At 55.6% G+C, this 24,816-nt stretch overlaps 2 protein-coding genes and 2 long non-coding RNA genes across 5 annotated transcripts in view, besides 3 other annotated features; 2 read left to right on the forward strand and 2 right to left on the reverse strand.

Moving 5' to 3' along the window:
* Positions 53-629: an enhancer, noted in NCBI's record as "H3K27ac-H3K4me1 hESC enhancer chr6:170575708-170576284 (GRCh37/hg19 assembly coordinates)". NCBI's record gives its function as "activates a minimal SCP1, AML or CMV promoter by ChIP-STARR-seq in naive H9 embryonic stem cells {active_cell/tissue: H9 hESC(naive)}" and the evidence as "EXISTENCE:reporter gene assay evidence [ECO:0000049][PMID:30033119]".
* On the reverse strand, positions 102-10,195 carry LOC285804 (uncharacterized). The gene is made up of 3 exons (NR_126021.1): positions 10,118-10,195; positions 8,764-9,021; positions 102-1,718 (listed from the first exon to the last, which is right to left on the reverse strand). It is a non-coding gene; the product is annotated as an uncharacterized LOC285804 (long non-coding RNA).
* Positions 630-1,206: an enhancer, noted in NCBI's record as "H3K27ac-H3K4me1 hESC enhancer chr6:170576285-170576861 (GRCh37/hg19 assembly coordinates)". NCBI's record gives its function as "activates a minimal SCP1, AML or CMV promoter by ChIP-STARR-seq in naive H9 embryonic stem cells {active_cell/tissue: H9 hESC(naive)}" and the evidence as "EXISTENCE:reporter gene assay evidence [ECO:0000049][PMID:30033119]".
* Positions 5,907-12,902, forward strand: LINC01624 (long intergenic non-protein coding RNA 1624). Its single transcript, NR_104177.1, has 2 exons — positions 5,907-8,863; positions 12,642-12,902. It is a non-coding gene; the product is annotated as a long intergenic non-protein coding RNA 1624 (long non-coding RNA).
* Positions 15,577-16,776: an enhancer, noted in NCBI's record as "P300/CBP strongly-dependent group 1 enhancer chr6:170591232-170592431 (GRCh37/hg19 assembly coordinates)". NCBI's record gives its function as "activates an origin of replication core promoter dependent on BRD2, BRD4, P300/CBP, MED14 and CDK7 cofactors, with strong dependence on P300/CBP, by STARR-seq in HCT116 cells {active_cell/tissue: HCT116}" and the evidence as "EXISTENCE:reporter gene assay evidence [ECO:0000049][PMID:35650434]".
* DLL1 (delta like canonical Notch ligand 1) lies at positions 15,639-24,511 on the reverse strand. Of its 2 annotated transcripts, none has more exons than XM_005266934.5 (11): positions 23,519-24,511; positions 22,945-23,241; positions 22,162-22,222; positions 21,672-21,929; positions 19,671-19,731; positions 19,002-19,132; positions 18,687-18,856; positions 18,352-18,568; positions 17,261-17,462; positions 16,421-16,538; positions 15,639-16,312 (listed from the first exon to the last, which is right to left on the reverse strand). In XM_005266934.5, the coding sequence occupies exons 1-11, from the start codon at positions 23,570-23,572 to the stop codon at positions 16,307-16,309; spliced, it is 1,575 nt and encodes a 524-aa protein (XP_005266991.1). In that variant the 5' UTR covers positions 23,573-24,511; the 3' UTR covers positions 15,639-16,306. The 2 variants fall into 2 exon arrangements, with proteins under 2 accessions (XP_005266991.1, NP_005609.3); NM_005618.4 differs by having other exon boundaries at positions 16,664-17,462.
* Positions 24,136-24,816, forward strand: part of FAM120B (family with sequence similarity 120 member B) — a 116,365-nt gene continuing 115,684 nt past the window's right edge. Inside the window, exon 1 of the mRNA NM_001286379.2 lies at positions 24,136-24,505. Coding sequence (NP_001273308.1) covers positions 24,491-24,505 — 15 coding nt within the window. The 5' untranslated portion in view covers positions 24,136-24,490. The remainder of the gene's footprint in view (positions 24,506-24,816) is intronic.

The raw sequence follows: 24,816 nt of genomic DNA on the forward strand, positions 1-24,816 counted from the left end.
ATTATTCGCCACAAGCACACACTTTCTGTTTGTCTCCAGATAAAGGGATTTAAAATCCCGTTTGTCAGTGAGGGAAGGTGGAAACTGTGGAATGGATTTTTCTGGACCAAAAGGTAGGTGATTCCCCCCTTCCGTGCTGCCCAGCCACAGCCCAGAGAGACAGAAAGGTGGAGACTCACGGCAGGGCCGCACGCAGGGCTGTGTTGTCCGCTTCCTGGGACGGTACCCTGCGTCCAGCACACTCACGGCCAGGGCCGCACGCAGGCCTGTGTTGTCCGCTTCCTGGGACGGTCCCCTGCGTCCAGCACACTCACGGCCAGGGCCGCACGCAGGCCTGTGTTGTCCGCTTCCTGGGACGGTCCCCTGCGTCCAGCACACTCACGGCCAGGGCCGCACGCAGGCCTGTGTTGTCCGCTTCCTGGGACGGTCCCCTGCGTCCAGCACACTCACGGCCAGGGCCGCACGCAGGCCTGTGTTGTCCGCTTCCTGGGACGGTCCCCTGCGTCCAGCACACTCACGGCCAGGGCCGCACACAGGCCTGTGTTGTCCGCTTCCTGGGACGGTCCCCTGCGTCCAGCACACTCACGGCCAGGGCCACACGCAGGCCTGTGTTGTCCGCTTCCTGGGACGGTCCCCTGCGTCCAGCACACTCACGGCCAGGGCCACACGCAGGCCTGTGTTGTCCGCTTCCTGGGACGGTCCCCTGCGTCCAGCACACTCACGGCCAGGGCCGCACACAGGCCTGTGTTGTCCGCTTCCTGGGACGGTCCCCTGCGTCCAGCACACTCACGGCCAGGGCCGCACGCAGGCCTGTGTTGTCCGCTTCCTGGGACGGTCCCCTGCGTCCAGCACACTCACGGCCAGGGCCGCACGCAGGCCTGTGTTGTCCGCTTCCTGGGACGGTCCCCTGCGTCCAGCACACTCACGGCCAGGGCCGCACGCAGGCCTGTGTTGTCCGCTTCCTGGGACGGTCCCCTGCGTCCAGCACACTCACGGCCAGGGCCGCACGCAGGGCTGTGTTGTCCGCTTCCTGGGACGGTCCCCTGCGTCCAGCACACTCACGGCCAGGGCCGCACGCAGGGCTGTGTTGTCCGCTTCCTGGGACGGTCCCCTGCGTCCAGCACACTCAAGGCCAGGGCCGCACGCAGGCCTGTGTTGTCTGCTTCCTGGGACGGTCCTGTCTGGGAAACCCGGACAGTCGTTCCTGTCTCTTCAGTCTTGGTTTTCTGTTAGTATGACACCAATCTCCTACGTTGAGTTGCCTCCTGTAATTCCCTGCAGGATCTGTAATCACATGGCGTCTGGTTTGGGTGCCGGCCACACGTCCGCTCACACGTGCTGTCTCCGACTCCCCCCAGCCCCATGTGCAGCTCCCTCATGGCATCTTTTTGGGAGGGCCATTTTCCACGTCATTTATACCATCTGGGTGCTTTGAACCCAAAAAGTTCTCAGAAAAAGCTCACTGAAAAAAAAATGTATAACAGACGTGCCTTTGAAAAATTCATTTGATTGATGGTAGTAAAAGGCTCTGTAGTGGGCTGAGAGGTGTTCCTCCAAAATCCACGTCCCCCCAGAGCCTCGTGATGTGAGCTTGTGTGGAAACAGGTCTCTGCAGATAGTTGAGAGTGGAGATGAGGTTGAGCTGGATGAGGGTCAGCCTGGAATCCAGTGACTGGTGTTCTTATAAGGACACGAGACACAGAGGCAGGGCAAGAAGGCTGTGGAAGAGGGAGGCAGAGATCAAGGTGATGCACCCACAAGACAAGGGCACCAGGATCTCACAGCACTCAAAGCTGGGAGAGGCCTGGAGTCTCCCTGACAGCCACAGAGGAGCCAGCCCCGCCCACACCTGCATCCAGGAATTCTGATCTCTAGGACTGTGAGAAAACGAATTTCAGTTGCATAGAGGAGGTAATTTGCCATGGCAGCCCCCGGGAACTCACTCGGTGTACAAGGAGGAGGAAAGTGCCCGCTACTCCTAAGATAGAGCAGCCACACCCGAGGTAAAGGGGCACCCCATACCCGGAACAGCCCCCACTGCCCCACGGTGACCATCAGTCCTTGTCACTGAATGGATTCAGAACTCAACAACCTCACCACCCGCTAAGGAAGCCCCGTGGGAGGATGGGTCACTGTCTCCTAGGTGTGAGCCCGCACCTCACCCGTTGCCTGCAGCCCTCCCGGGAGGAAGGGTGACATCTGGGGTGCCAGGGCCCTCGGCCTGTGGGGCAAATGCTGGGCGGAGTGGGCTGACTGAGGCAGGAAATGTGAGCAGCTATCCAGAGAAGTCGGCCCCCAAAGCGTGAGTCTACTAGCAGCCTGAGAGCTGGCTACTGGCAGTCACTGGACAATTCCCACTTTACTTTGACCTGATAAATGGCAGGAAAAGTGCCCACCAGGAAGCCTGGGAACTCAGCAGGTGGTTGTGACGACAAGGCTCAGAGACCAGGTCACACTGGCTGGGGCCACTTTCTACGAAAAAGGCAGGCCACGAAATCCCTCCCTAAAACCCAGTCAGTGTGGACAACGGGATTCTACCTAATGCCTTGGGGACATCAGAGGTAAGTGTGCTCTTGTTTCTTAGGTGACATTCTTTTTTAATCTAAAAATATCTGTTGCCACCATTTAACGGTATGGCCCTAAGCAGCTTTCATTCCCACAGATTCAACACATTGTGAGCAAATAGCACCCGTTACTACAAATGCCTGTGAGGGAGAAAAGCCTACAGCCTTCCCCACAGAAGCATGTGTGACGCGGGGTGGGGACCCTGTACCTGCTCATATGTATGGAGAAAGTGGGGACATCTGTAATCCTCCACCTCAGGAACTAGCTGACTTGACTTGGACCCAGCTTTTCAGGAGGCACAAAACACAAATGAGAATCAAGTACGAAGCCCTTAGTGTTCCGGTCGTTCCAAGTCTAAGAGCTGTTGTGGGCGCCACAGAGCCTGCTGCTACTAGCGATCCCAGTTTGGCAAACACCGGGGCCTCACTTTGTCTCTTGTGTGGGGAATGCACACACCTCACATCTGTCTCACGGACCATAAACGCTCTCCCGAGAATCATGTTGACTCTGCTCACCGAGCCCAGGCCCAGCACAAAGACACACCATAAACACCTGCGGAGGGAGCGTGGCCCAGCCCAGGGACTCTGGGGCTCCCAGAAGACAGGGCCCTCCCCCAGCCATGCCGGGAATGCTGCGTGACAGCGGATCAGGAAATGGGGCAGAAGCCCATGAAACCCTCGGAGTCAGGTCACCAGGGCGGGTGCTCGCCCACCCCCAACGCCTGAGGGTGACATTTGACAGTTTACACACAGTCTCTGAGCGCCTGTTTTAGCCTAGGTTTGTAAAGGAGTCAAGAATTCATCTCAGAAAGCTGCCAGTAGACAACCAAATGCTATTTCAAAGCAACTGCAGGGGTTAGTAATTGAGATTTTTTTTATCCCTCTAACTTGCTACTTCCCTAGTTCTGTGGCAGGCCTCTTGACTCAGCTTATAAATACTAAAACTGTTGCTGTAATAAGAAAAAACAAGAAACATTCCTTGAATATTTCAGAGCAAAATGCTTGTGAAAGCCCTTGGTTTCCCCACAGAAAATGTATTTAAAAGAAGAAGAGCCGTGAATCGGTGGCAGCTGCTCCCAGCACCTGTTCCCCGTTCCCATCATTGAAGTTCTCGTGGCATTTTGGAAAGAACTGAGCAGTTTTCCTAGAGAAATACTCTGGGTTCTCGATTACACAGTTGACTGCACTCAACTGTTGGCTGAGACAAAGGGGCCTGAGAGGTGTATCCGTGCACAGAGCTCCGCACCCTGAAACCGCTCAGGGCATGGACCGCGGTGACGTGCCGCCTCCCTCCCAGTGCCCACTGAAGCGTCCTGCTCCCTTCTTCGCACAGATGGCAGTGTGGGGCCAGGGGACGTGTGGCATCATTTGCCCATGCCATTTTCACTTTGTTTTTTTTGTTTGTTTTTGTTTTTTTGAGACAGTCTCACCCTGTCACTCAGGTTGGAATGCAGTGGCACAATCTCAGCTCACTGCAACCTCTGCCTCCCAGGTTCAAGCAATTCTCCTGCCTCAGCCTCCCGAGTAGCTGGGATTACAGGTGCACACCACCATGCCTGGCTATTTTTATTTTATTTTATTATTATTATTATTTTTGAAATGGAGTCTCACTCTGTCACCCAGGCTGGAGTACAGTGGCATGATCTCAGCTCACTGCAACCTCTGCCTCCCGGGTTCAAGCAATTCTCCTGCCTCAGTCTCCCGAGTAGCTGGGACTACAGGCACACACCACCACACCCAGCTAATTTTTGTATTTTTAGTAGAAACAGTGTTTCACCATGTTGACCAGGCTGGTCTCAAACTCCTGACCTCAAGTGATCTACCCACCTCGGCCTCCCAAAGTGCTGGGATTACAGGCGTGAGCCACCACGCCCGGCCACCTTCTTCACTTTCATAGAATGTCTGGACTAAGTCTTCAAGGCACAAGGGCATCAAGCTCTAATGAGCACACGGGGGCACCACTGCAGATGGCCAGGGGGCAGGCGGAGGCCACCATGCACCCTCCCTCTTCATCGGCTCGCAGCCCCTCCTGGGGAGCTCTCGCTGCCATCACAAGCTGAGAGGCTTACAAGACACACATTCATCCCCTCACGGTTCTGCAGGTCAGGAGCCTGACAAGGGTCCCACTGGGGTAAAAAACCAAGGCTTGGCCAGCCTGGCTCCTTCCGGAGACTCCGAGAGAACCTCTTCATGTCTCTTCCCGTTTCCAGAGGCCACACATTCCTGGGCTCCTGGCCCCTTCCCTGTCTCTGAGCCACACTGCATCTCCAGCCTCGCTGACCCACCCCTGCCGCTGCCGAATTCCTCCCTCTGTCCCCTGTACAGACCCTGTTCTTCCACTGGGCTCCCCTGGGGAATCCAGGCTAATCCACATCTCAGGGCCTGGGGCTTAATCCACAACGTGCTGTTGGCTCTGGGGTCGGGAGGTTGGGGAGGCCGTGCCCGGGGGCCTTTCTTCTGTATTCCACACCATTGATCCACATCATGTTCAAATGATCTCCTAAATGGAATGGCTTCCTATCAACCCACGTCACTGGCTTCACCCCACTGTTACCAGGAGCTGGTTCTTGTTGGGCTCTGGAGGCCAAGAAGGGGCTCCTTCCCTCTGCCCATCAGCAGGTTGCTTGGCACGGTAGGGTGGGTGCCCCCGTGAGACACAGCTTGGGAGCACGAAGCGGCCGCAGGCCCTGGGCCCGGGCTACGGGCTGGGGAGGAGGGAGGATGAGGCGTGCAGACACTGAAAGGGCGGCTGCAGAGACTTTTTTGTCCAGAAGTAACCCAGAGCGAGCAAGTCCCTGTGGGTGAGGACCACGCATGCCCGGTTGGCGCTGATGTGTGGGAAAACGACAAATGGTGCAAGCCACACGGGTCACGTGCGTCTCCTGTGCTAATCGTGGATTTTCATTTCCTCCGGAGACCCAAATGAGAAAGTAAAAGTGTATGCAGGAGTCAAACCCACTTTCTAGAATGTGGTTAATTTCTAGAGGCAGCTGGGTTTCCTGTGGAGAAGACAGGTTTGCCTACGCAGCGTAGAGAGGAGACGGCTGTGTGGGCTCCAGCCCCAGGGGAAGTAGGGCCCGGGGGTCACCGCGAGGAAGCTCCATCGGCCGCGGCGGCTCTGTGGAATCTGAAGCGCGTGGTCTCACGGCCACCTCCCCCTGCACCAGCCGTGTGGCCCAAGGTGATGTCTGTGTGCCTTGGTTTCCTGATGCGTAGAACGTAGCCAGCTGGAGGACAGGGGGGCTGTCGGGTTCTTTGTGTGGAGGTCTCCAGAAGGCTGTTCGTGCTGTAGGCAAATTCCACAAGACCTAGGAGCCAGGACCCCAGGTGCCTTGATGCTGGAGGGAAGAACCTGGCTGAGACGCACCTGCAACTGTTTGGAGCTGGTGACCTTGGGCCCAGCACACCCTCGCTGCTGGTGGACACAGCCCCTCACAAGCAGCTGCGAGGCCCTCGGGCAGTGGCATGGGCGCCGTCGCTTCCTGCTAACCCCACATCCTCATTTCCCACGCTTCTCCTTCCACCTTCCATGATCACTGGGACCTACTGCCTCAGGAACCGCCTCAGAGGGACAGAGGGAAGCAGACCACCCTTTTCTTCAGAGAGTTCATGGCCCAGGGAGGGAACGCTGGCTGGGGACGATCACAAAGCCTCTCTGGTGCCCGGCCAGCGACAGGGACCCTCGGGGCTGCGGGGGGAGAGGACGCCCCTGCCCTGGCCGCACAGGGTTGGGTTAGAGGTGAGCTGGGGCCGGAGAAGCCACGGGAGCCATGTGGCGCCTTCTCAGGAGGTGCTCCCGCAGCTTCGCCTCCTCTCGTCTTCCGTGCGCAGGGAGGGACCAGCCCAGTGACAGCTGGGAGCAAAACTGGTCACCTCCCCTCGGGCTCTGGGCAACTGTCAACCTGCAGCTTTGAGTCTCTCCCCCTGGAATCTTCTATCTGGGGTATGATAATGTTATTACATACGTTGGTTATTTACAGCACAACATGAAAAGGCAATTTGTAAGGACTGGTCCGTCTAATCGGGGCGAATCACCAGTCTTCTGAGGCATCGTATTGAGTTTAGTTTCCGACTGATTGCTAAATGCCTTCACGCTGCGTGGATATTGCCCAGCTCTGCCTCCCTTGCTGCAGGTGCCCTGTGGATGCTGAGCTTCCACGGAGGGGCTGCTGCCCCCTCTGCCCCCACAGCTCAGCTCGAGTTCACCAGTGGGGAAGGCCGAGGGCCTGTGGAACGAGGGCTCCGTTCCCCCACCGCAAGGAGTGAACGGCACCGAGGTTCCCGCCGCCGAGCCGCAGCGCTGTGCAAGCCCCCGATGGGCGACGGACACCAGGCCCCAGCCCAACGCGCTTCCTTTGGCTCCTCCTGAACTGGGGGGGGGGCCTCGCACCCGCCTTGCCAGGGCCCTGGCATCTGTCTCACTGGCCTTTCTCACCTGGTATTCCAGTGAGGAGGGTGCTTCAGTTTTACTCCCTTTGAGAGGCAAGATCTTCTCAACCCACAAGAAGAGGCGACCAGGTCCTGGGTGACTGTCGAATAAGCCTGGTCCAACTGGGAACAAGTCTTCTGGGCCCTAATTTCCCACATGGTGTTCTTGTCTGACAAAATCACAGCCTTCCACGTTCAAGAATCTTCATTCATCTCTCTCTTTCAGCGAATGTTCCCTAAGCTCTCCCATCACTGAGCACTGCTGCCAACAGCCCAGCTGCATGCTACCACTTTGGTTTGATGGAGAGAAGGGCTCAGAACCTCGTGCAAGTGGGAGGCAAGCACAAGTACAAAGGCATCTTCCGGAGCCAAGGTGGGGGCGCAGAGGGCCTGTCTCAGTGAGATCCCACTGTCTTCCAGGGTTTGCCACCGCAGCAGTAAGCCCTGGAGTGGCCCCACACCCTAAGATCCACGGGGGAAAAGGTGGATGTCTCAGCATGGGTTTGTAACATTGTTCTCTTAAATAAGCAGAGGATGCAGAATTAGGAGCAAGCATTCCGAGGGGTGGCCAGCTGTGGCTTCCGAGGGGCACCTGACCTCCCATCTGCCTTCTGAGCACCAGCTGCCCCAGGTGAGGTGTGTGGAGTTCCACAGCTACGATGAGCCGTCGCCATGGAGAACAGCAGCTCACGATTGCTTTGATTTAAATTGAATTAAGGTGAAAATGAATCAGGGCATAACTCTCTTCTTTCAGCCAGACGTCTTTCTGAACCGGTGTATATATGACTTAAAAAAGTCACGAGGGTTTTGGGCCCAGGGATCAGGCAGGAAGGAAAGGCAGTGCCGTGCAAGGAGGGGTGGGTTAGAAATTGTATCCAGAACCGCTGTGGCTTGTACTGAAGGAAGAAACTTCGTAGTTCTGCTTCTATTTCTACCACAACACCAAGGAAGGTGTGTGGGGTGGGGAGCAGGTACACACAGGTCCTTGGTATTACCAGTGGTCCAGGATTGTATAATTCCGCTTATTCTACCCATCCCACAGCCTGACCCTGACTCAAGTCCTGCAGCCCCTTGGTGCCCTGAGCCCCCTCCCCTGCCTGTTCCTAAGCAATCAATCACCCTAAGACCCCGTTCTAGGTTTCAGCAGATGATGACGAGTTAATCAGACAAATAAGCCATGGGGTAGGCAGGGGTTGTGGGTGCTGCTTCCTGGTCCCTCTGGCAAACCAGAAGGGAGCTGCCTCCCTGCGGTCCCCACCCTGTCTCCAAGCTTCCCAGCAGAGCCCCACATCCAGCAACTGGGCCCAGCTTTAACCAGACGGAGGAGCAGCCTGACGTCCTGCCAGCCCCAGAGACAGATGTGGGCACAGGAAGGGAAGGCAGGGAGGAGAGGAAGCCAATAAAAAGTGTTAGCATCCGTCAGGGTGACCCTTTGCAGAACCTGCGTCAGCCTGAGGACGCAGGGAAAGGCTGCGCGGGAGAAGCCGCTGTTAGCATCTGCCAGGGTGACCCTTTACAGAAACTGCGTCAGCCTGAGGACGCAGGGACAGGCTGTGCGGAGAAGCCGCTGTTAGCATCCGTCAGGGTGACCCTTTACAGAAACTGCGTCAGCCTGAGGACGCAGGGACAGGCTGTGCGGAGAAGCCGCTGGCCTTTGCCGCTTGAAAGCTGGGTCCCTGCGGCCTCCTCACCCCAGGGCTCCCTCAGAGAAATTCTCATAGAACCCCTAAGCAATACGCGGGGAAAGAACGGATGCCACCCGGAAGCATGCCGAGGAAGAGTCCATTCATGGGAACTTCCAGAGCCGGTCACAGAGGCCAGATCCACGATCAGGTGCATGGCAGGGGCTTGTCCGCAGGACCGGAACCTTGGTGAGCATCAGCGATGGGCACTGTGTTTCCCCAAGAGTGACCTGGGGTGCCTTCAGGCCAGGCGCAGCTTCTACTCCTCATTTATCTCCACCACGCAGAGCAACGTGCGGCACAGACGAAGCACTCAGGGAACATTTAAATGAGTCCGTGGGATGCACCTAAAAGAAATAGAGGTTTCCAAAGAATAAGCAGGTACAAGTTAGACCCCACAAAAAAGATAGGCAGGCAGGCATTTGTTAAGTCCATTTCATTTCACCCTAGGGTTTTAACATCAAAGTATCCCTGTAATGAAGAGGCATTTTGTTACCCAAATTCTCATGTTCTTCAAGAGGGAGTAGAAAGGAAAAAAAGATGAAAAGGGAGAAACAGTACAGCCCCTACCTTCAAACTTACTACCCCCACCATACACACACACAGACACACACACAGTAAATGACATGGATATTTATCCAGTCTGCCATAAGACACCTGGCCCCACCTTATAAATGAGGGAAGCCTGGGCCAGCACAGTGGCTCTCAACTATAAGCTCAGTCTTTGGGTGGTCAAGATGGGAGGCTCACTTGAGCCCAGGAGTTTGAGACTAGCCTGGGCAACATGGCAAAACCCCATCTCTCCAAAAAATACAAAAATTAGCTGGGCATGGTGGTGGCACATTCCTGTGGTTTCAGCTACTCAGGAGGTTGAGGTGGGAGGATCCCTTGAGTCTAGGAGTTCAAGGCTGCAGTGAGCTGAGATTGTGCCACTGCACCCCAGCCTGAGCAAAAGGAGTAAGACCCTGTCTCGAAAAAAAAAGAGGGAAGCTCGGTGCTGGGTATGTCAGAGATGGAAAGACTCTTTCCAGTCTTTATGTCTCATTGGACAACGTGAAGATTCAACTTCCAGGGCTGCTCAGTAGAGCCAAGTCTGGAAAACAAGCTCGTGGGCACCACATCACAAGCACGTTTTCCCTGGAGCCCGCGTTGTCACTACTGTATTCCCAACTCCACTCCGAGGGCCTTTCAGGGTGGAGGAGAGAGCTGTGGCCAAAGGCAGTGAGAGGCAGAACCCCCAGCCCAAAAGCCAGATTTCAGCCTCAGGGACGAGCCAGGGCTCACCACCCCCGCGACACCGCAGGCCTCTGTGCGGAGACTGTGCTCAGGCCCAGCGCTTGCGCTGGAGAAAAGGCGGAGACATTCAGAACCCAGGGGATTCCAGGCTGCCTTCTCCACAAGGGTCAGGTTTGTGGAGGAGAAAGGGGAAGATTCTCCACCCACCAGGCGCCTCCTGGACTGTCAAGAACTAACAGGGACTAGATCACCCGAAATAGCAGATCAAATTGAAACAGCATACTTAGCTTTTGGAACGAACCACGAAGCAGGCAGGAGGACCGGAGATTGCAACATACTGACCTTCCGAGTCCTGTTTGGGTCAGTTTGTTAAAATTAGTTTGTCCTCCCTGGAGACACGGCCAACGCAGCCTTTTCCGTGGCAGGAGTCCAAACACAGTCTCTGCTGCTCTCCACGCACGGCAATGGGAAGGCAGCCCTTTCCCCTCCATCACTCCGGGGAGCTCACGTGCGGACGGGGTCCTCTGTAGCATCTTTAAATTGGAGGTGACTTTGTACCGTTGGAGCCGGGGGCAGAGTCAGCAGTGACCTCAACAGTTAGGACCAGGATAAGTTCCTTCTGCTGAAAGAGGACGTTAAGATGAGAAGGGCTTGGCCGGGCGCGGTGTTTCACGCCTGCAATCGCAGCACTTTGGGAGGCCGAGACCATCCTGGCTAACACGGTGAAACCCAGTCTCTACTAAAAATACAAAAAATTAGCGGGGTGTGGTGGCGGGCGCCTGTGGTCCCAGCTGCTCGGGAGGCTGAGGCAGGAGAATGGCGTGAACCCGGGACGCGGAGCTTGCAGTGAGTCGAGATCGCGCCCCTGCACTCCAGCCTGGGCGACAGAGCGAGACTCCGTCTCAAAAAAAGAAAAAAAGAAATGCTTTTAGCGCACTTAGAGCATTTAGAGCAATGGGATGATTAATTCCATTTTCCATTTCGGGCCTCATCTCAAGTATTTTTATTTCTTTCTCTTCCTCACCTTCCTGCCACCATTTGTGGTGGCAAATGTGACATTTCACATTTACACCATTGTCCAGTTTCTCTAACAGCTTGACTTTCTGTGCTATAAACATAAACACTTCCCCTTTATCCCCTTTAACAAACTGCTGTCTCTCTAGGGGTATCTGCAGGCCTCTTTGACATTTTCAACATTAACTTTAAGCTACTGAGCAAAAAATGAGCAAAAAACCCAGTCAGGGCTAGAGTGTAATCATGACGAATAAACTGGGGGTTTCATGATATTTCTGACACCTGTTTGACTACAGAGACACTGAACTGTCCTCTGCCAGGTCCAGCCTGGGCTCTAGAGCCTGCGTCTGAGGCCCCTGCCCCACTCGTTGGGAGCAGCTCCAGGGCTCCCCCACCTCCCTTCCCTCTCCTGTTTCAAAAGTATTGACTTTGAGGATCAGAAATGGTCCTAACTGTTGCTTTTTCATTTTAACTAAAACTCTCAAATTTAGAGTGTTTTTCCCTTTTCAATACACCTTTTTAATATTGCTTTTTTTTTTTTTTTTAAGATGAAGTCTTGCTCTGTCCCCCAGGCTGGAGTGCAGTGGCGCAATCACAGCTCACTGAAGCCTCGGCCTCCTGGGCTCAAGCCGTCCTCCTGCCTCAGCCTCCTGAGTAGTTGGGACCACAGGTGCCACCAGCACACTCAGCTAATTCTTTTAAAATTTTTTTGTAGAGACAAGATCTAACTCTGTTGCTTATTGCATTTTTTTATTTCAAATGTTTATACCAAATTTTTTTCTAAGCTTCTAAGAAAGAGCTGAAATTCACAAAATCCAATTCATACTAATTCTAGAAGAAACAATACTTGCCCTTCTGCAGGTGAGCAATTCCTATTGTAAGCGTCTGACACCAGACGCCCTTCCCCCCTTCTTCCTTCCTTCCTCTCTCCCCCCACAGGTCAGGGTGGGACAGCGCAAGAGAGAAAGTTGGAGACACCACGAATCCCGTCACAAACACTCTTAGGCCACTTCCATAAAAGTGTAAGAGGTTCTAGGCATCAGGCTAAAGTACTGCTGTTGAGGTCCATAATGTCTACACCAGGGTGCCACTTGGGGGTTTGGCAAGGCAGGCTGAGGAGCAGGAAGTAGCAGATTCTGATCCTGTCTCTGAAAAGTGATTTTATTTGTTGAATATCCCAGCACTGAGCTGTGAATTAAGATTCACTAAAGGAATCAAGGTTCTTGTAAAATATCCAGGACCACAAAGCAGAGATATTTTTCCTTATGGTTCAATAATTTTAAAGTTCAAATTAACTTAAAACAGTAACATGCTTTTCGTGAATGGTGCTTTGACCATGGGTTTAGACACCGAGGAAGCAGAGGAAGTTGGTGCACAGGAAACAGCCTGGGAGGCCCTTGGCAGCTGAGGCACACGTCTGCACCTCTTGCCATGGAAGGTTGGCTTGTCTTCTAAAAATCGTATCCGAGGAAGATTCTACCACTTCCTCGATAAACCACTGACAGCCTTGAAGTTTTCTTCATGCCTCGATCCAACGAGAATGCCCTGTCCTGCAATTTTAGATGATTTCCTCTTACACTGACCTTATTTTCTTTGAGAACGTAATTAATGACATGAGTCTTGTCATTTTTCTTTTCTGTGCTTTAAAAAAAACAAAAGGTTCTGATGCTCATGTTGCAATACATTTTAAAATGCTGCTTCATTCTGCCTTCCTCAGGTACCTCACTCCGGATTCTATTAAAATCGTAATCTCTAGAAGATGGATTCAGCAAATGCCAGGCGTGGAGCCATGAATGTTTCCATAAGAAACAAGAAAAATAGAAAGAATGTGTGTTAGCCAGACGACACCTTGATGGCACCCCTGCCACCTCCCCAGCCCTCCTCAGTGGCAAAGTGATTTAGCTCAGTTGGGCTTCTCCAAAATGGAAATAGTCACTTGTTTGAGCAAATAAATGTAATGAAAGTTGTTCCGGAAAAATTCTAGTACTCTGCACTAATACATATCATCTTAAAAACTTATCTCTGAATTGTTTCCAAATGACAAATGTGTAAAGTTTCTAAGTACTTTTTGTTTCCTTATCCTTGTAGTGGAAGATACTACATTCAACACAGACGTACTGTGTGCCTCCTGCGTGTGAGGCCTGGTGCTCATGGCGCGTGTCCTTGCATGCAAAATTCTACTCTTCATCTTGACGTTTCTAGACATTCAGCTGTTCCTCAGGAAACGATTTACCTTCCCTCTGCCTTTTCTGTAAAATGCATGGACTGAGGAATTACTAATGCATAACACTTTGTTTGCTGGATACCAAGTAGACGCACTCTTACCATATACAGGGCTGTATCTAGGCAGCCAGTTATTAGAATAAAAACAGAATACTATGTTCATCCGCTCAGATAATCCCTGTGTTTGGCTTCATGTTATGGTTCGAAACTCCTAGTGACATTGGTAAGAGTGAACACGAGAATGAAGCTTCTTTCATGATGAAATGTCCTGAGTGTGTGTCTGTGTGTTCTCAAATTATAGCTCACATGGATAGAGAACGTTTTCTTGCTTCAGCCTCAAGTGGGGATTGGGTTGCAGTGGTGAACCAGGGCCAACACAGCCCGCCCTCTTTGAGGTTGCAGTCTCCTGGGACACACGCCCACTAAACAAACAGCTACACGAATTAATCATGCCACAGGGCAAACTGCAAGAGCACCATCACGTGCGGCAGGTAACCCAGGCGGGTCATTTTCGTGGCGGAAGAAGGTCACACTGGAAGTCACCAGACAGATGGAAGATCCCACTCAAAGTCGCAGAGTGGGGGCGGATGGAGAACCAGGCTGCCAGGGCGCTGGCTGGAGCCGAGCGGTAACAGACCCGTGGGAGAATAACGAAACGAGGCTCCAAGACAGGCGGGAGCCGGATGGTGCATGACCTGAGAGGCCAAGTCAAGGATTTTGAACTCCACGCTAAGAGCAGCCGGAAGCCGTTCGCTGGCGCCAGCTGAGCACATGCGCAGAACCGTGCCCTGAAAGGCACCGTCCCCTGCAGACGGGAGGAGGTGCTCCCAGCACTGCTGCAGACGCTGCCGTTTCCCTTTCAAGGACTCAGCAGAGTGGGCAATCACCTAGGCGCGCCACCAGCGAGCCTGAGACTCTGCTACCAGCGTCCTTGACCGGACTCCCGCTCTCCACCCAGTTTAATTGGCTTGCTTTTGGCCTTGTAAGATTTCTCATCTGCGATGTGCGTATGCAACCACAGCAAGCCTCCCTCAGATGCATTCTGCTGTGGGTCACGTCACAGACACGGCGGTCCATACACACCCGGAAACTGTCGTGTTTGCGTGTGCGTGTATTCACTGTATGGTCCGGCTTAATGCTTTTGCTTATGGGAAGTTTCAAACGTGTACGAAAGAGGAAAGAACACGGAAGTGAGCGCCCCCATGGGCCACTCCCAGCTGCAGCGACCCCCAGCAGTGCTCGTGGGACTCCCCGTGCCACCGTGCCCGCGGCGGGGGGCTCCGAATCAGTCCCAGGCCTCGTATTGTTTCATCCATAAATATTTCAGAATTTTCTCTAAAAGATAAGGTCTCTTTTTAAACTGAACAGTAATAACACATCACATCTAAACTATTTAGCAGGTGCACTTTAAAATCATGTGGATATCCCAGTCAGCGCTTACATGTCTCCAGTGGGTTCATAAAATTTTTAAACTGTTTGAAACAGGAACCAGATCCAGACGCTGCGATGGATTGATATGTCCGTGTCTCTTTGTATCTATGGGTTCCCCCTCACCATTTTCTTGTTTTTTCCTTGCAATTTATTTGGCTACAGAGTTCCCTGGATTCGGCTGCGCAGATGCGTGGGGCGTCGAGGAAGGAGTTTTCAGTCCCGTGTTTCCGTAACTGGTAATGAGACTGAGAGCTGTCATCGGATTCAAGCTCAATGTTCTTAGCAAAACACTTCTCCTCTTTGCTGGTGTTGCTGGCCTGGCATTTAACGTGCCCTTAATGCAAGGAGGAAATGCAAGCGGAGTCGGGTCTGAGGGGAGTGAGCGCCAGTGCCTCCGCGCAGCTCCTGCTACATCGGTCGCCCTCTTTCCATCCTGGGAACCGCTCAGCGCTTTGAGGTACGCGCAAGTTAAAAATGCAATCACTACCATAAGGAACCCGGGCTTAGCGGGGGGCAAAGCGGCAAATGAGGGGTCAGCCCACAGGGAGCCCGTGCGGTCCTGCTGAGCCAGCAGGCGGGACGCGCTTAGAGACGGGGCTGCCCACCGACGGGAAGCGGAGGAGCAGCTTCCGTGACTCCCACGCCCCGTCTGGGGCCATGTTGGCGTCAAACGGCGACAAAATCATGACAGCTGTGACCCACTGGGTACAAAATAACTCACAAGTCTACACTGACATGAATGAATGAATGAATGAATGAATGAATGAATGAATGAGGAACGCTCATTCTTTCTGCGGAAAGAACTAATAAATGCATGGGGGGATGGAATTAGAAAATCGCGGCTGCTTCATGCGCGTGCCTGCTCTTACCAAGTCACCTCATGATGGCCAGCAAGCAGCTTCCTGAGGGAGGAGAGGAACGGGCTGCTTCTCATGGATCCAGGGAAACCAAAGCCTTGAAAAGAGAAACACCAAGGCCACCTCTGCCCTCAGCCTCGCGGGCCGCAGGTGAGTGAGCACACCTCCGCTCTAAGGCAAAGCCAAGTAACTACGCCTTCTGGTTGTCATTCATAAAATTTATTTTGGAAAAATATTTTAAAAAGGAATTTCTTCATTAACAAAACAGTAAAAAACTCAAATAACATTTGCACAATATTCCATAAATACATTTATATACAAAAAAATATAGTCACATAGACCCGAAGTGCCTTTGTACATATTTACCAAAATTTAAATTATAAAAAACGAACATCACAAAATACTCAAGCTTTACAGATATCATGAAAAATATTTTTACAAATCCAAAAAATAACACACATCTTTTCCATCTAGAAAAAGCACATCTTCGTATCAAAAAGGACAATAAAGGCAGTGTTTGTGTTTCTAATTCAAGAAAAGACTGGCTCATAAGAATCCAAAATATACACTCAGGCAGTGCATGCTTCTTATGCGTAATTCAGTTCACCCATTTAAATATATATTCTCTTAAGAGCAACTGTCCATAGTGCAACGGCGACGTCACGGAAGGCAGTGCCGCAGGCGGCCGGGCCGCGACAGGCTGTCGGCAGGCGTCGAGGACCTCAGGAGGAGAACCTGCTCGGTCTGAACTCGGTTTCTCAGCAGCAGTCCACGAGGCCTCCCTCCTCTTCAGCAGCATTCGTTGGGGCATATATCCTTGGAATTTTACTTATTTTAAGAGAAACGGGAGTCTTGCCATCTCACTTCCATTTTACACCTGGGGGGCCACAAGACAAATGGGAAGTTAGCCTGAGACCGATTCCCGTGCTCCAGCTTCAGGTGCTCCCATGCCGAGGAGGAGGGAGCGGCTGCTGCCTGCACTGACCTCAGTTGCTATGACGCACTCATCCTTCTCCTCGGATATGACGTACACCGACTGGTACTTGGTGTCTTTTGAAGTTGAACAGCCCGAGTCCGGCCTTTTTCTTTCAGATGCTTCTCCACTAAAAGGAAAATAGAGAAAATCCACAATGAATGCATGAGAACATTTGGGAAGAGAAACGGAGCAGTGGTTCCAGGAAGACACCCCCCAGGTACCCCCTCCTGATGCCCGGCCCGCAGCACGCACCCCCTGAGTGTGGTCGGGGTCCCCTTCTCCTCCCCTGAGGAGCCCTGGGGCTGGCACTTGGTGTCACGCTTGCTGTGCGCGTCCCTGACGGCGGTGTCGTCACCCTTGAGGTCCTGCACGAGGTTATAGTCCACCGCTGGGTAGCGGGCCTTGAAGCCATTCTTGTCGGCGCTGTGGTCCCCGTGGAAGTCCGCCTTCTTGTTGGTGTTCTTGATCTGCGTGGCCCCGATGATGCTGACTGAGATGTCCTTCTCACGCTGGCAGTTGGCCAGGTTGTTCATGGTCTCCGTCTCCCCCCGGCAGGGGTCGGCTGGGGGCCGGTGCTTCTGCAGCCTCAGCCGGACGCAGACCACCACAGCGGCACAGCCCAGCAGCAGCATGAGGACAAGGATGACCCCGGCGCACACGGCCACCCAGGGGAATGGCCCGCCCTGGCCCTCTAGCTTCTCAGTGAGGTCCACCACCGCTGGGCCCGGGGGCAGCTCGGGGAGCAGGAACTGGCAGTTGGGACCCCCGTAGCCTCGGGCACACTCGCACACATAGCGGTGGCCCCTCTCGTGGCAGGTGGCCCCATTGTGGCAGGGTGCGTGCTCGCACCTGCTGACGGGGGCACTGCAGTTCCTGCCCGTGTAGCCAGGCGGGCAGGTGCAGGAGAAGTCGTTCACGCCATCCCGGCAGGTGCCCCCGTTGGCGCACGGGGAGGAGGCGCAGTCGTCCACGTTGTCGTCACAGTGCCTCCCCGAGAAGCCGGCCTGGCAGCGGCACAGGTAGGCATCACCGAGGTCCACACACTTGGCACCTGGAACACAGGGACATGAACATCACGTGTCTCCTCGTAGGTTTGTTCACCAAAAAGTCACTCTGAAGCATCTATCTGTCTGACACTGTAGAAACCAGACAAACCAAAGACAGTCTGTGGCCTGAATGAGTCCACAGCGCAAGGTGACATGGTTTAGGACCTCAAATACGAGAGGTGTCCAGGTCTAGCTCTACAAGTCAGAAACCACACGGCCAGCATCTGGACAGGCGCTGTGCAGAACACTCTGGTGGCTGCATTAGTCGCCACAACAGCCGGGCAAGAGCATGTGCCACTCGACCCAGGTTTCAGATGGGGAAACTGAGGCTTAACGAGGGTGTCCTTGCCCACAGTTACACAGCAAGTGAGAGGAGCAGGCACTGACAACAGGGGAGGGAGGGAGGGGAAGGATGACCATTCCGGAATGCTCCGGCACATCTGGGGCCCAGCTCTCCTTGCTGTGTGTCTCCTTTGGGCAGCCAGCCCCTCGCTGCTAGCAGGAGGCTCTCTGTCCTCACTCAGGGACACCCCCAACTACTGTGCTGGGTGGCCACACAGCTGGGCCATCCTCCCAAGCTGGAGTGGCCGGCACCTGTGGGCATCACTTACTGAACCTCAGGCGGCCGCAGGTGCCCGAAGCACCTTGTGGCCCTGAGCAAGTCATTCACTGCTTGGTCTAGGTTTCCACAGAGAACTTCATAACAAATGCCCTGGCCTCTCTCATTCCCCAGGCCTTTCCAGACTCAAAGATAGAGTTTCCATCGAGAATTCCTGGCGGTCTGGATAAAAGTGATTCATAAACTCGAGGTCACTCACAAATGCTTGTTTTTAATGCCACCTCAGTATTGACCGCTCGCCCGAGTCTCTGAGCAATCACCAGCTGCCCCCTTACCATTAGAACAGGGTGAAGAGCTGCAGTAGTCAATTTTCTTCTCACAGTTGAAGCCGGAGTAGCCCACGGGGCAGCGGCAGCTGTACCCTCCATCGGGGCTGTCTGAGCACCGACCCCCGTTAAAGCAAGGGCCGTCCGCACAGGTCATGGCACTCAATTCACAGATTTTGCCGTAGAAGCCGGGTGGGCAGGTACAGGAGTAGCTGTTCTCGAGATCCTACACGATGGAGAGGTCAGAAAAGGCTTTCCAAAGTTGCTCCAAGGAGCCCACACACTCCATTCAACACCAGGGCACCCCAGCTTCCGGGTGAGATGCCATGGAGCCTCCGACTCACCGTGCAGCTCCCTCCGTTCTTACAAGGGCTGGGGTCACACTCGTCAATCCCCAGCTCGCAGGTGGCACCTGTGTACCCAGGCCGGCAAGAGCAAGTGTAGCTCCCCTGGCCCGTGTTGGTGCAGGTGGCTCCATTCTTGCAGGGCTTATGGTGTGTGCAGTAGTTCAGGTCTGTGAAGGGTGGGGACAGGAAAAGTAGGAGATAGGAAGCTCGACATCAAATGCAGGAAGACTTTATTTTTCCAGTGATCAAACAGCCAGGGAAGTCCAGGGCTGCTCTGGAGGGAGCAGGCTGCCTCAGGGAGAGAAGGCTTACCCTGGTTGCAGAAAAGGCCCCCCCAGCCTTCCTGGCAGTTGCACTGCCAGGGCTGCTGGCAGGTGCCATGGAGACAGCCTGGATAGCGGATACACTCGTCACAGTACCGGCCCTGCCAGCCCACTCTGCACCTTGGAGAAAAGCAGAAGACTCAGATGGACGTTGACTGTTGCTGGCTTTGCAGTGGACATTCTCACCCTAGAAACCATCTTCCCGCAGCACCAGTGAGCCTCTGGTTCTCCAGATTAGCAGAACACTGGGTCACCTTGGGAGCTGCAGCCTGGGCCTGGGCCCCACCAGAGGTTCTGGCTTCTTGGGTGTTAGGGCAGCACCAGTGTCAGCATCTCAAAAATCACTCCCTGAGTGATTCTAGGATGAGGCAACATTTGAGAACCATTGAACTATACTATCATTTCCTGTGCCAACTCTTTTTAAACTACTATCTGTAAATTCTCATAGCCGTTAAGGGGCTTAGACGAATGACAACTCCATGACCTTACATGCTGCCAAACATTGATTAAGTAGAAACATGAGAAAACGGCCCCCTGTTCAATCAATCTTACTGGAGTTTTTCGAATGATCACCTAGGGCTGTTTTTACAAATACACCAGCTGTGAAAAGATAACAAGAAAAGGCAACAAAACAAAACACCACCTTGTGCAGACTTACTTGCATTCCCCTGGTTTGTCACAAAATCCATGCTGCTCATCACATCCAGGCAGGCAGATCGCTACAAGCAAAGGAAAAACAGGGTCAAGCCCCACGCCAAGTACGTCCCAACAGGGCTGCCGCCCTTGGGGCCAGGACACAACTCGCCGGCTTCAGTCAGCAAATCCCAGCTGAGTTAATCTTCCCAGGTTGTGGAGGACTGACCCCCCTGCCTAGTAGCCTGGGACTTGACTCAGCCCTGGGGATGAGCATTCTTCTTAACACAGGGGCTCAAGGACAAAAGGGCTCTCGGAAGCCCCCACCCCCACCCTATCCCCTTTTCTTCTAAGAGAGGGTCAGAAGTCTTCCCCCTCCTCCTCCCCCACTTCCCAATTCTGTGCACAAAGCTCCACCTCTTAATATCCCAGAAAGTGTGTGTGCAGATAAGAGTGGACAGCTGGTATGCAGGGTGCCAGGGCAGGACAGCTGCTCCATTGTCTGTCCTCCACGGCAGCTGCCCCAGCGCAACAATGCCGGCCTCCCCCGCGCCCCCGGCCCCACCTCCTCACACACACCCCTCGCGTGTACACACACACACACACACACACACGCACACGCACCCCTTCCGCCAATGGGAGCCGGCGGGTGTCCCTGCGCCTATCCCCGGAGAGATCTAATCTATGGCACGCGCGAGCTGGGGGCGGGGAGAGACTTCAGTGTTTGAAGAAAAAAGTTTAAGTTTCTGGCTACCCTGTGGTGAAGAGAGGCAGGGAGGAAGGGTGGGAGGCAGCAGACTGGCCAGAGGCTCCCGCAGGGCAGGGAGTAGACAGTGGGCTTGAGGCTTGGAGCTGGCTCTTGCTGCCTGGTTATGAAACTCATTAACAAGCAGCTCCACAAGTTGTTTTTTGTTTTTTTGTTTTTCCCCAGAACCAGTTCAGGCCAAGGCAAAGCTTAGAAGGAGCTCAGTAAGTTCCGGAGGGAATTTGGGAAGCTAAGGAGCAAGGACATCAAGGCACTCAGTGAATGGGAAGACCCACCCTCAACCCCAGGCACTACCCAGCTCCTGCCAGAGGTTCTGGGCCTCCCAGAGCCCCTCTCCAAGGTTGTCCAGTTCCAAGGAAGGAGAATGACAGTTCCCTGGAGTTTCTGGGCAGCTCCAGGACCTACCCAATCCCCAGCTGTAGAGAAATCCGGTACCAATGGGCTGGGACGGCCAGGCGTGCAGGCGAGGCCTCAGTCAGCTGGAGAGAGGGCTCCTGAGGTCCCCATGAGCCAGAACCAGGAGCCAGCACGGCCCCAACCCTGCCCTAGTCACCTGCCTGCCATGACATTGACACATCAATACCTAATAAGAGGCAGGTAGAGCCTCTGTCACTATTGGGAAGACATTGCTTCTCCAGACAAGGTGCTGCCTGAGCATTCAAGCCAGACGGGGCTGTGCACCCCTCGCCCACACAGGCCTTGGAGACCTGGCCTCAGCAGCCCACAGGAGTGAAAGCCTGCTCTCTGGCCAGCATAGACAGTGCGTGTCACAGGGAGTATCCGGAAAGGCGTTTGCTCCAGAGAGGTCAAGCACACCAGCTCCAGAGAGAAAATGGAACGTTTCCCAGTGTGATGCTGTTCCAGCACTGGGAACTCGGGTTGAAATGGTGCCCCTGACACACAAGCTCTCTCTGTGTTCCTCCCTTCCTTCCTCCTCTCCCTCTCTAATACACACACCCTGGGGGTAGCACTGGCTTTACTTCCTGACCCCTGGCCCTGTCTCTAAAATCCTCCCTGATTAAGAAAGGCAGTTCCGATAGTGGATAAACACAGCCTGGGATGTTAAAATGTCTGCGTTGACCCCAACCCCCCCACTGACGAGCTGTGACTTATAGCAATCCACTTCTGTCCTCTGGGCCTCAGTTTCCCCACCAGAACATCTCTACAGTCCCAAGCCCCCCGTGGCTCAGGAAGCCCCGTCCCTGCGCGCGGTCCGTGTTCGTGGACGAGTGAGCCAGCGGTGCCTTCCCAGAGACTCACGCTCTGTGCAGTAGGGCCCTTTCCAGCCAGGGTTGCACACTTTCTCCCCACGCTCCCCACAGGTGAAGTGGCCGAAGGCATCGTCCCGGGGACGGCAGAAAACGGAGCAGCCCTCTCCGTAGTAGTGTTCGTCACACACGAAGCGGTAGGAGTACTTGAGGTCCGTGCGGCCGCTGCTGTGCAGGTCCTGGGACCACTCCTCGCCCACCGTCAGGTGCCTCTGGGTGGCCAGGCGGCTGATGAGTCTTTCTGGGTTTTCTACGGGGAGAAGATGCTCCTGGTTGGTTCTGAACGAGAACCCTGTGACTCGGGACAGAGCGGGGGTGGGCCGAGACATTCAGCACGGGAAGGAGGCCCAAGCTGCTCCACCCTGAACTTTCTGGGGCACGTGCAGAATGAAAGCTGTCCGGGTTTGGCTGGGGGATGGGTGGGCAAAGTCCAATGCTATTAACTGGGGAAAGCAGTTTTGGGGTTTGGGTTTTGTTTTTACCTGTTGCGAGGTCATCAGGAGAATCTGTGTGGAGAGCTTCAATAATCAGAGAGAAGGTGCCCTGGGAGAGAGGGGAGAAGACGTTAGACAACCCAGAAAGGTAACGAAAAGAAAACGGCAAAAAGCAGTCATTCCTAACAGCCAGGTCAGCAACAGAGGCCTGAAGGCTGCAGGTCTGGGGCAGCGTGTCTGGAGAGGGTCTCCACGCACCTCCTGCCTGCTCTCACCTTCCCTAAGGAAATGGAAGAACTTTTTAAAGAGTGGTTTCCTGACGTGTTTTTTCAGCCTGTACTACAGGATATTACGTTGTTTTTTTAATTAGAGAGAGAGAGAGAATGCAGGCAGGATGGGGTGGAAGAGGCCCGAGGGCCCTTGTCATTTTTCTTGGGGGATGGGCACGCTCCGGGTGGTAGCGGTCGCGCTGCGCGGGTAATCGCGCCACCAACGCGTCTAGGAGTCGGGAAACCAGAACCTTCCCACGTGAAGGGGCGCCTCTGACTGGAGACCTGGCACAGAGGCCGGATACGGAAATCTCCCGGGCGCGCTCGGCCTCTCCTCCTCGCCCCAGCGCGGTCCCCTCCTGCAGGCCGCGGGGCCCCGGGGCGAGGTGTCCGCGCTGCTGGGCTGGAGTCCTGGGGCCGCCGCTAGGCAGATCGCAGCGCCCACCTGCGCCTCGCGGGGTCCCCGAGGTCCCGCCACCGAGCGCCCAAGGCGGGATCCCAGCGCGTCCTGCAGCCCGCCCAGCTTCAGGGCCGGCCCGGCGCGCGCAGGTGCGGCACTCACCGGCCAGGTGAAGCCGAAGGGGAAGCGGATGGGGTTGCTGAACGCGGAGTCGGCGCCCCCGCCGTCGGGCAGACTGAAGGAGTCGACGCCCAGCACGGGGGTGACGGCGCTGCCGTAGGTGCAGGGCGGCTCGGGGGACACGCTGGCCTGGTAGTGCTTGAGGCACACGCGGAAGAAGGTCCGGCAGGCGCACGGCGGTGGCCCCGCGCCCCCGCGGCAGCAGTTGCGGTTCCCCAGCAGCCCCTTCTTGTTGACGAACTCCTGCAGCTTCAGTTCGAACACCCCAGAGCTCCAGACCTGCACGGGGGAGGGCGGGGGCGTGAGGACGCGGGTCCCGCCCGAGCTAGGGGGCGTGAGGCCTGGGTGGGGGGTGTGCGGAGAGCCTGGAAGGGCTCAGGGGCCGAGCGCGCTCGCTGCACGGCCGGCGCTGGGGTCGTCGCCCCCGGGATTCATCTTCCGGGCCGTGGCTGGCGCGGCCCGTGCCGCTGTCCGCCCCTCCCCGCGCGCTCCTGCCCCGCGCCCCGGCTACCCGTGAGACCCCGCGGGGCCGCGGCGCCCCCACCTGCCCGCCTACCTGACACAGCAAGGCCGAGAGCACCGCCAGGGCCAGCGCGCACCGACTGCCCATGCTGCTTCGCTCCACGCGCGAGCCTGGGGGGCCCCCACTTCTCTCCTTAGAACAGCGGCGGACGCGCGGGGGATCGATGGGCCACGGGGAGCGTGGGCAGAAAAGCGCCCTTGCCTCGCCCCAGACCGCAGGACCCAGGACTTCTTTCTTTAAAAGCCGGTCTCCGCCTCTTCCCAAGGCCGCGGTTCTTTATATCCGCCCTGCGAGGTCCCGCGGCAGCCCCAGGGATGCCCGAGGAAAGGCAGCTCTCGGGGGACAGCGCGGCGGCGGCGACTTTCGTTTTCCTCCTTCCTCCCAGCCCCCGAGGAGGTGAGGGTCGCCGGCTTCCTGGTTTTGTCTTGAGCTTCTTCGCAGGAGAGGGAGGGGGAGAAAGAGAAAGAGAGAGAGTCCAGAGATTGAGCTTAATTCCCAAGAGAGCTGCAGAGCTTCCTCCCGAGCCGATTAGAAAGCCGCGGTCTGGAAATCCCACGGGCAAGGCGATAATCCGGGGCCAGCGGCGCGCGCTGAGGGGACGGTCGGCGGCGGCGGGTGTGCGCGGCGGCCCCTGCGGATCGCGGCCCGGTGTCACTCGGCGGCGGCGGTCGTTCCGGGAGCACTCCGGGCTCCGATCTCCGGTGTCACAGCAAAGATCCGCGTCTTTCCGATGAATCCAGCCAATGCCATCCAGTACACACGCGCAGGACCGGAGGGGCCGGGCCGTGGGAGGAGGCTCTGCGCCGCGGCTGCCCGGGTTCCCCTGCGCTCTGCCCTCGGCCGGGTCGGGTCTCCGCGGGTGCGCGCAGAGGATCTGGCTCTCGCCGGCGCCTGCCGCCCTTATATTCAGCCGGCCGCCCGCATGGCTAATGAGATGCAAATCAGCAGCCCCCCAATCTGGCGAGAGCTGTCACAAAGGAGCCACTTTTCCAAACCCTCCTCTCAATGGATCGCCAAATGGTCAGTGAGCTGTAAAATGTGCAACCCTCCTCCCCGCCCCCACCCTTCCCCGCCCCCCCAGTCCTCCCCTGCCCCCGCCCCCAGCCCCCCCTTCCTCCCTCACCACACAAAACGCACTCATTTACATTCCTGCAAAATGTTCACCGCAAGAATCCCCCTGCTTCTGGAGCTGGTGCCGCCGCCCCGTCCCCTCCGCACGCCCTCCCGGGCCACAGACGCCCAGAGACCCTCGGCCACACGCGGGGGGCGGCGCTGCGGGCCCCACTTGAGCGGCGGGACGCGGCCTCCGAAACTCCGGGCCGCGGCGGCAG

Source organism: Homo sapiens, chromosome 6, assembly GCF_000001405.40.
Source record: "Homo sapiens chromosome 6, GRCh38.p14 Primary Assembly".
Taxonomy (NCBI): domain Eukaryota; kingdom Metazoa; phylum Chordata; class Mammalia; order Primates; family Hominidae; genus Homo; species Homo sapiens.